General features: G+C 40.9%; 1 protein-coding gene across 5 annotated transcripts in view; it reads left to right on the forward strand.

The window, feature by feature from the left end:
- Positions 1-10,567, forward strand: part of CACHD1 (cache domain containing 1) — a 222,925-nt gene extending 212,358 nt beyond the window's left edge. For all 5 annotated transcript variants that reach the window (NM_020925.4, XM_047426234.1, XM_047426235.1 and 2 more), the window contains one exon: positions 8,837-10,567. In NM_020925.4, the coding sequence (NP_065976.3) occupies positions 8,837-9,075 (239 nt within the window). In that variant the 3' untranslated portion in view covers positions 9,076-10,567. The remainder of the gene's footprint in view (positions 1-8,836) is intronic.
- Positions 10,568-10,768: the final 201 nt, after the last annotated feature.

Consider the following 10,768-nt stretch of genomic DNA (forward strand, 5'->3'; position numbering starts at 1 on the left):
CTTGCCCTGACCTCTGGCATGGTCTGGGGAGCTCAGAGAAGGCTTCACCAAAGAAGCAAGAAGCAACATTTGCACTGAGCCTTGAGGGGGTGATTAAAGAAAAGGTAGGGGCAAAGAATATTAGAGGCCAAAGGACCAGTGTTTACAAAGTCATGGAGTTGTGTAAGTGCCTGTAAGATGCTCAGGAAGGGTCAAGGCCAAATCATGAAGAGGCGCCGAGTGCTAGGTAACTTATGAAATCCACCTACTCTGCCAAAGACTTGGCCATCCCACATGGCTTCTCTCCTTCTCAGAGTCCATATCGCTCATTGTTGCAAAGAACAGCAGATGTATCCCAGTCTATAAGCATCACTGCCACAGTTCCACAAAAATATAACAGATGTGGGTAGTGTTTTTCCTGCCATTGTAAAATCTTTTTTTTTTTTTAAGATAGCTGTTTAATTTTCCAGAAATCTGTATTTTCCTCCTAGAATCAAGTCCTTTTTTAAATACATAAATAGTGTATTTAAGCCTTTTTGACTTAGCTTTTTCCACACCTATCCTGGAAAAAAAAAGTCCTCAAACCTTGTATTCCCTGTATCTACACTAAAAAATGCAAAAATAGATACTCCTCAGAGCAACCAACGTCACCATTTACACTACAGCCAGGTCTTCAAACTCCCTTTGGCAAATAAGAGCAGCTAAAGCTCTGTTTTATAAATTGGAGACTGTTAATTTGGGCTTTGAATGACATTATTCCCACCAACTAAATAGAAACTTCAGGTTTCTATGGAGAACCACAGCAGAACTTAAATTTCTCAGTTTCTTTGACTTTTTTGCTTTTTTCTCTACAAACCTTTGAACTTGCATAAATTCCTGCTGCCAGGCAGTTCTGTGCCTTCTCGTTTGAATAATAAAACAGGTTTGAGGCTACTAAAGTTCAACAGAAATAATTTCTTATTCAGCAGAAATACTGAATCCTTTTCTCTCTCTGAAATACTGAATCCTTTTTCTCTCTGTTCCTCAATAGGAATTGCATCAATACCAAATTAGGATTCTGAGTGATGTTTATGACGTTCCATTAGCCTCTCCCATTGTCTCAGTAAAATGGCATATGAAGCAACAGCTTAGATAAAAGGAAGGGTGCAGTGTCAGTATCTGAACACTAAGGCATCCAGCTAAGGGCTTGGTTCCTTTCATTTTTCTCCATAATTGGATCCATGTTATCCCCAAGGTATGAAAAATAGTTTCTCATGCAGACAGAATGCAACACCAAAAGAAGGGGAAGGCATTGACACTCCCCATATTCCAAATGCATCATAAAATCAATAGAATTTAAATGCGTGTTGGCATCCTTTGAACCAGTACGTGGGTCACTAAAAATGGTGACATTGAGTTAATGTCCCTGTGATGCCTAGAGGCAAAGCTACATACACCCATTAAACAAGGAAATCTAATTGTTTTGTTGGCACACTTCTTGCTCATCTGTGTATGCTCTACTCTCCTATTTGGTGGATGTATTGGCATCTGCTATGCACAGTTATGCACTGCATAACAACACTTCGCATATACTACAGGGGTCCCATGAGATTATAATGGAGCTGAAAAATTTCTATTGCCTAGTGATATCTTGATGATCCTGACCCTGTGTAGGCCTGGGCTAATGTGTGTGTTTGTGTCTTAGTTTTTTTGTGTGTGTGCTTTATTTTTTGAGACGGAGTCTCGCTCTTGTCACCCAGGCTGGAGTGCAAAGGTGCGATCTCAGCTCACTGCACTTCAAAACTGTATCATTCCTTACATATCAAGGATCTCATTTGTGGTAAAAATTTTTTTTGGTATTTTATCGCCATTTAGTCATATTCGTGGATTTTCTTTGTTTTTTCTTCTTCTTCTTCTTCTTTTTTTTTTTTTTTTTTTTTGGAGACACTGTGTCTTAGTTTTTTAATGAAGGAGTTTAAAAAGTGAAATGTAAAAATTTTTAAACTAGAAAAAAGCTTATAGAATAAGGATATAACAAAAGGAAATATTTTTGCACAGCTGTACAATGTGTCTGTATTTTAACCTGTTATTACAAAATAGTCAAAAAGTTTTAAAAGTTTAAAAGTTTATAAAGCAAAAAAGTTACAGTAAGCAAAGGTTTATTATTGAAGAAAGAAAAAAGTTTAATAAATTTAGAGTAGCCTAAATATATAGTGTTTATAAAGTCTACAGTAGTGTACACTGATGTCCTAGGCCTTCACATTCACTCACCAGTCACTCACTGGCTCACACAGAACAACTACCAATCCTGCAAGCTCCATTTATGGTAAGTGCTCTATATAGGTGTACCTTTTTTGTTTTTTGTTTTTTGTTTTTTGTTTTGAGACAGAGTTTTGCTCTTGTCGCCCAGGCTGGAGTGCAATGGTGCGATCTCGGCTCACCACAACCTCCACCTCCTGGGTTCAAGCGATTCTCCTGCTTCAGCCTCCCAAGTAACTGGGATTACAGGCACATGCCACCATGCCCGGCTAATTTTGTATTTTTGGAAGAGACTGGGTTTTTCCATGTTGGTCAGGCTGGTCTCGAACTCCCAACCTCAGGTGATCCGCCCACCCCAGCCTCGCAATGTGTTGAGATTACAGGCGTGAGCCACTGCGCCCGGCCACAGGTGTACCATTTTAAAAAATCTTTTATACGGTATTTTTCTGGTACCTCTTCTATGTTTAGATATATAAATACCTATAGTATTACCTACAGTATTGTGTACAATTGTGTTTTAGTTGCCTACAGTATTCAGTGCAGTAACATGTGGCACAGGTTTGTAGCCTAGAAGAATAGGCTATGCCATATAGCCGAGGTGTGTAGTAGGCTGTATCATCTAGGTTTGTGAAAGTACACTCTGTGACATTTGTGCAATGATGAAATTACCTAAGGACACATTTCTCATAATGTATCTCTGTCATTACACAAGACATGACTGTACCCTTGTACACTGTGGAGGTGGAGGGGGCTACAGATGGGAGTTGTTACTTCCTCAAGACAGCTTGGTGTAGAGGAAGAGCTTAGGAGATAGGGTAAAGCCAGTTCACTTTGAAGCCTACTTCTCCCCCTTTTTTTTCCACAAGCTGTTGAGACCTTAGTGAGCTACCTTAGACCTGAGTTTCCTAACACTTAAGGTAGGATTAAAAATTTTTACTGCAGTCTGGGCAATATGGTGAGACCCTGTCTCTACAAAATAAAAAAATTAGCCAGGCATGGTGGTACGTGCCTGTAGTCCCAGCTACTCGGGAGACTGAGGTGGGAAGATCACTTGAGCCCAGGAGGTCAAGGTTGCAGTGAGCCATGTTAGCACCACTGCACTCTAGCCAAGAACTCTTTGAGCTCTTTGAGACAGGGCTGTCTCAAAAAAAAAAGAAAAAAAAAATGCTGGGTGGAGTTGCAATGAGGATGAAATGAAATGACATATGATAGGCACGGTGCTCAGGGTTGACCTCCCTACCTCTGTGCCCACCCTGCCCTGAAGAAATTTACAGTCTAGGAGGAAGCTATAAATGAATGCATGTATTCATATGCTTGATAAAAGGTGGAATATGACAGCTTCCTTAAAAGAGTAAAACAAAGAAGGAAAGGGGTGAGAGTTCACTTTTATCTGCGAGTAAATTATGGGAAACCCCATGGAGGAACATGGCATTGACTGGCCCTTGAACTGGTAGGATTGTGGCGTCATGATTCTCTGCTCCCTGATAAGCGTATTTCCATGTGAATCCTTGAGTGTGTTACACAAAAGGAAACTCAAAAGAATTAAGTCTATAAATACATGACTACACAACGGCCTCGGCTCTCATGGTATGAGTTCAGAGTTGTGATCCTAGAATTGAATGAAAATTGAATGTTACCAAACTAAACTTAGAAACTTTAGGGTGTATTTTTATTTAGAAATATTTTATGTGGCCAACAGAATTTCGTTTTTCAAAAGAATCTAATTTTAATTGTTGTATCTTAAGAAAAACTACTCCAATTGAGAATGTTTTTTGAAAGTAGAATCATTTTGGCCCATAGTCTAAGACCACTTAGAATGATTGATTTTCAGCAGTGTTACCCTCACAAGTGGAGGTTAGAAACAATTACTACCTGTGTGTGTTTTCAACTATCTATCTGCTTTGCCCATTTCTCTTAAAAATATCATGTTCTGTCCAATCATCTATTGGCTTATTTTTAAGTCAAAAAACACCTGTACGTTATTTGTTCCTTGTGAATTTGTATTTTGGTTACTATCTCATCAGAAACTTTATGTAAGTGTATATTAGGCAACATTTTTTTCTTTGTAGAGGAAGATTTCTCCCTAGTTTGTGGCAAATTCCAAAATACTTAAAAAGCAAATGCTGAACCTTAAAAACCTGGTCAAAAAACTTTGTAGATGAACGTAAGACCATTTTCTAGAGGTGCACAAACATTCTCCTGCAGTTACTCTCTGTGGCCACGAGATGGTGAGTGAGTCCCCAGAGGGACGTCACACCCCTTATAATCAAACAAAGTTTCTTAGGAACTATCAGATAAATATATAAGCAGACTGTCAAAGAACAAAAACCTAATCTCGGCTCTTTTTGATAGATGCCTGACCTCCTTTCTAAAGCCCATTTCCCACTTGAGATTGTATTTGCAGACACTTTGCTACATAAGCCTTTGGATAGTAAATAAATTTTTCCTTGAAAGTGTTTGCAAATATCCTTTGTGTTTCAAATAGTGCGTCTTCCTCCATGAGTCAGGGACTATGTCTGTCTTAATTCATCACCCTTCCCAGTGCTCAGCAGAACTGCCTGGCACTGAGTAAACAATTAATTTGTTGAATACGAAAATGTGTTTGTCTTTCTCCTGCTTTTCCACAACTTGCTATTCCCTTCTCCCCTGACCTCTTCAGATTTCCATTAATGATTGAAATAAGAGGAAGTTACAGAGGAGTTGAGCAATGGTATCATAGTAAGGAAATTAAATGGAATGCCCTTAGTATGAGAGTTTTACTCTGAAAGCACCTCTGTTGAGGTTCCTATCAGAAAGCAGTAGCAGAAGAGATGGGGGTGCCATCCTGAGATGAAGAGATGGGTGCCCTCCTGAGTTGCCTTGGAGACAGCTGCACCATCACTACCGTCCTGGATGTGAACCCAGGACCTGTGACCAGCCAGGTTCAGAGTGTCACTGGACTCTGTCATAACCCATGGACAGAGTCCAGTGTATCCTAGAATGTCTGCATTATTAGATGAGACTAGTGAATGTTGTACCAGGCAAAGCCACAGGTAACTACAAAATTCACTGATGCTGTTGCTTTGAGAGTATAGTGTGCGTTGGTGGGGGGTGGGGCAGCAGTTGTTTTTAAGTTCCTGCTTTGTGTGAGTCACTGTGTTAAATACTAGGGATACAAAGATAAACAGGAACTTACAATTTAAGAAAGAATTTGCTAATGAATAGATAGCCTTATATTTTTTATTATAATATGGCAAAATATAAGAGATGTGCACAGAATGCATGTAAAATCACAGAAGGAGCACCAGCCCCCATGTGGGCTGGCAGGACTGGAGGTGGGTGGGGGAAATAGGTTGGGAAAGCTTCCCAGAGAAGACTTTCCAACTGAAGCATGAGGCACAATAGCAAGATGAGGAAGGTGGGAGGGTGAGCCAAGCAGAAGGGCCACCATGAATCTAACACCTCGAATGCTAACATGAATTATCAGTTAGTGTGTGGGTGCTTGTAAATGAGCAGAGACGGGAAGCTATCCAGGAAGTGTTTGAATAATCACTGGGATTTTGCTAAAATCCTGTTTTCTACTTTAATCCTTTACATGTATAGCATAAGGTGGTTTTAATATGCACAGCAGTTTGTGACTTAGATTCTGGAGCCTAGCACCCAATCTAACACTCCAGACTTAGCACTGCTAAAGCTGAGAAACCTATTCTGGCTCCTGGTCTCTTAATCCTGGGTAAGGGCATCACTATTTGCTCAGTATCTGAACCTAGAAACCTCGACCTTTTCCAAGGATGTCAGCTCCCTGGCATCTTCACCAGGCAAGTCCATTTGGTCACCAAATCCAGCCTACTGTGCACTTGAACAGTCCACACACTGCGACTGCCCTACTTTATGTCCTTGCCATCTCCTCGAGGCCCATGCTCCAGCACCCTGTCCTCTGAGCCTCTGATCCCACCTTCCTTCTGTCCAGCCTCCCCATTGCCCCCTGACCACTCCCACTGTCCACTACTAGATCATAGCTCATAGCTTCAGCCAGCCTTCTTGACCTGGTCTTAGCCTATCTGTCCAGTGCCATCTCCCACCGCCCCAACCCCCAGCACCAAGCTTTCACCATTCCCAGAAGCCACCAGAGCCCTTCCAGCTGTTGTACCATTGCATGTGCTTGGGCCCTGCTGGAGGTACCTTTACACCCCTGTCTTTACCTACTTAGCCCCTTTTCTCCCATCAGGTCTACCCAATTGTCACCTCAAGGATCTAAGCCAAGTCCATTGGCTTTGGAATTCCTTTTGTGTGCCTCTGTTTTAGCACATGGGTGTTTCCCCTTCTTGCCCTAAGGTAGGCCTCTCAGGAGCTGAGGCCTCACCTTAGCCCTTTCCTGTCCAGCCTCTAGCCTGGCACCTGGCACCAAGAAGGCACTCAGTCATGGTGGACACACATGTCTCCCATCCAAGTACTAACCAGGCCCGACCATGCTTATGGTGGACACATATGTCAGTGAACACTTCCTCTTCTGCCCTGAATTTGCAGATGACACTTCTGAGATTCTGGCTAGACATCTCCACATATGTGACCAACAGAGTCTCAAAATCAAGCTGTGCATAAACAAAATGTGTCTTCTTTCCTGAGACTCAATCTGTGAGTTGTCCTTTCTTATCCTTATAACTTGAAGTTGTAGTCACCTTTCACTACTCCTCACCCCCACAGTCCCCCACATCTGATGACTTACCAATTTCTCTTGCCTCCACCACTGAGATAGCTTTTAAATCTGTCCAATCCCACTGCCCTAGTTTAATTCTCTATCCCTCACGCGGGCTGTTGAAATAACCTCCTAACTGCTCCCTGTCTTTCCTTTCGCTTCATCTCCCAAACCACCATCCTCTAAACACAAATGATCATGCCATTTTTTGGCCTGCTCAGTATCTTGTGTGGTCTCTCCATTTGCTACTCTTCGGCACGGGCTTTATGATTTGACTTAACTTCATGCCTCCCACCTGCCCTACCCTCCAGCTACCTGCTAGCACTCATCCAAGCCACATGGAACAGGGATGGCCTTTATATCCACACCTCTATGGCTGTGGTCATCCTGTTCCTTTCTTTATATCCACTTATCAAACTCCTACTCATCCACTTAAGCCCAACTAAAATATACATTCTCTGAAGATTCCTTATTCCCCCAGGCAGAATTAGATATTCCCTCTTCTGGATTTTAATTATACCTCAGTTATAGCACTTACCATTATCTGTGTAAAAGGAGGCTTTGTTTTGTGAGCATCTGTCTCAAACTCAACTGTAAAATCATTAGGGAAAGATGACGTCTCTTATTCGTGTTTCCTCTTCTCCCGCTCCAGCCCCATAATGGTCTCCAATAAATGAATAAGTGAATGACCAATGCTGATATTTGTTTCATTTCTCAAACATTAGCTTTTGAGCTCCCTATGCAGGGACCAGGCTTTCATCTTTATATGTCTTCCAGTGCCCAACACAGTGACTTGTATATTATAGGTACGCAGTAAATATTTGTTAAGTTGGACTGACAGCTAAATAATTCTATCATTTGAGTAATGTTTCATTGAGGACAGAATTTTTGCACAGAGCATACAATTTCAACCACCAATGACTCCTGCTTGGCTGCATGCAAGAACATCAATTTTGCAGCCATGAATGTGACTAGCATTACCCACGGGTAAGTGCTGATTGACGCTAACTGTAGATGCAATGGAAATATTAATGAGCTGTTGCTTCTTAAAATGTTTAAAGGAGATTTTTGCAATATTTAAAAACATGCCAGGAATCTCAGAATGGAATCCTTTGATCAGCAAGGGCATTTGCCTTTGAAACATGTATTACTTAGAATACCAAAAGAAATTAAATTTAAATGGGGTGGGGGGCAGCTAACACAGAGAATAGCTGATTGCACAGCTAGTTGCCCTGGGTATATGTGGAGTTAGTGTTTCATTAGGCACTAGAACTTTGGGCAAATTCCTTAACCTCTCTGATCATCATTTCCCTGAATTGTAAAATGTATATTAAAATATATCACCATTGGTGTGCAAGAATTGCCTGACACAAGTGCCTGCTACCAAGCAAGCACGCAGGTGATGGTGATGGTTCTTTTTGTTCTATTGTGGCGTCACATTCAGGCATTCAGGCGGAAGCCCAGATTTCCGCACCAGCCCCAGTTGATCTGAATCCTGTTCAGATCTTCTTCTTGAAGCTGTCCATTTTTTGGATTTCTTTAATAAAAAAGATTATCTTTATCATAGGTAAAAGTGTAGAAAGATAGGTCCCCAGTGGTGGCTCGCCATGGATGATGGGATGTAGTGTGATTTTCATTTTTGTGTTGCTGGTTTGGGGATTTGGGATAAGGGTTCTTGTTTATTTTTTTTTTCTCCTCTGTACTTTCTCAGCTGTCTGAAGTGGTTATGTATTTATTGTGTCATTGTTTTTTAAGGGAAAAAAAGAGTTATCACTAAATCTCTTTAAAAATAAATTACTTTAGCATCTGCTGACAGTCTGCCAGTGTTTGCACCTATGTATTGCAAAGACAGGAATACCTCCCAGTGCCCTAGAAATTGTAGGTGAAATCTTCTGTCTGCGTCTTGAAGCTCTCAGCTGTGTGTTTGTTTTGTTCTTTTTCTAGGTTACAGCACCATGAGCCCACAGGAGGACAGTGAAAATCCTCCATGCAACAATGACCCCTTGTCAGCCGGGGTCGATGTGGGAAACCATGATGAGGACTTAGACCTGGATACCCCCCCTCAGACTGCTGCCCTACTAAGTCACAAGTTCCACCACTACCGGTCACACCACCCTACACTTCATCATAGCCACCACTTACAGGCGGCCGTCACGGTACACACTGTCGATGCAGAATGCTAACAATCTCCTCACCTCCACGCCAAGATGAGATCTGGGAGCTACAGAATGTTCTGGAAAGAAAAAGAACCGGCTTAAAACCCACAGCAAGAGACCTCCCTTGTGTTTGTGCTTTGTGCAGAGTTGTTTGAGTCATTTCCTGCCTGTCGACATGGTTAAAAACGAGAGAAACAACAACACAGTCACATTTGTGAAGATGTGAGGCTGGTTCTGAAATGGAGGGGAAATAAGCCTGATGAACAGACCTGCCATAACACTAATGGAAGGTAACAGAAGGCGAACCTCCAAACACAGAGACGGAACCTGCAAGTGAAGCTGAGCCAGAGGAATGTTCCAAAGAGCCAGAAGCATTCAGCTCTCCTTAACTGGAAGAGAGAAAAATCTGCTCACCCAGAGACTGGAATGTGGCACATGCAGATACAAATGTGTGCATTGAAGATTTCGCTTTGTTTCTTAGCGGTACCTGGATACCACAGTTGCTGTATGGAACTCATGTTATGCTCTAAACGATGCATCTCAGAATTTCTAAGTAAAGGATTATTTTTCTACTATTTATTGAACTTTCAAACATTCTCAAACTTTGGGGAAAAGGAAAGGAAACACAGGAGAAGTTTTCAGCAGTTGCCCCGAGCTGTTTTGTGTGTAATGAAGTGGTTCTTTGATTAAGGAGCTCTATTTCTTATTTAACTGATATCCCACTGCCCCACTCCACAAAATAGGAAAATGAAGAAATCTTTCTCTCTGACTTGTTTACATCATTTCACGGAAACACATCTTTGTTTGTAATGCAGTATTCTTTCTCTGTGTTTGACAGAGATGGGGAGGGGCAGAGGAATTTAAGAGGTTTTAAAAGAAATGTTATGTTTCTTATGACTTGTTTCCACTCCTCGTACAATGCTATTCTTAGGTTTCTACGAAACCTAATGTTAGAACCGCATCCTTTCAGCTAAGGGAGGGTTGGATTTATTTTCCTTGTTTTAGAGACTACAAATTTTTAAATATCCCATTTTGACTGAGAATATTGACATATAAGGGAAGAAGTTTTCTAAATTGTGAAAGTCTGGTTCTTAATTAAAGAATTTTTTTTTTAATATCACGGTTAAAAGCTGCTGCCAGTTAGCCAAGACATTATCCACCAAATTGCTTTGTGATTTATACAGGGATTAATCAAATCTGGCTACTATAACATGGGGCATTGTAACTTTAAAGTAGTGTTTTAATTACAGTGATGTATTTTAGACTCACATTTTGTGATTCAAATATGTTATAAAGGCATTCTTGCACCATGGTAAAGAATGTGTGTGGTAAATCTCCGTTTATATGTAGTTGGAAAAAATTCACTGAATAATGTTTTAATGATAGGGTATTATGATACAATGTAAAAAACAATTGGTTCTTCAGCAGTACAGAAAGTAAACTATATATGTGCTATCAGGAAACCCCTTCATACTGTGTATAAAATTGCAATCTAGTGAAATAAACCGTATGCAATGGACCATTTTAGTGGCTACAGTGATTTGTTAATGTACCACTCCTTGTGCCTCAAGGCAAGTTACATTCATTTTGTAACCTAGCCAGGTCAGTTGCCAAACTGAAAATAGACCTCCTTTCAATGCTACAGTCAACTTCTAGGGCTTCTTGACCATCTAGATCAAATATGCAAACAACTTAACAATATAATGGGATAAAAATGTAT

This window comes from Homo sapiens, chromosome 1, assembly GCF_000001405.40.
Source record: "Homo sapiens chromosome 1, GRCh38.p14 Primary Assembly".
Classification (NCBI taxonomy): Eukaryota; Metazoa; Chordata; class Mammalia; order Primates; family Hominidae; genus Homo; species Homo sapiens.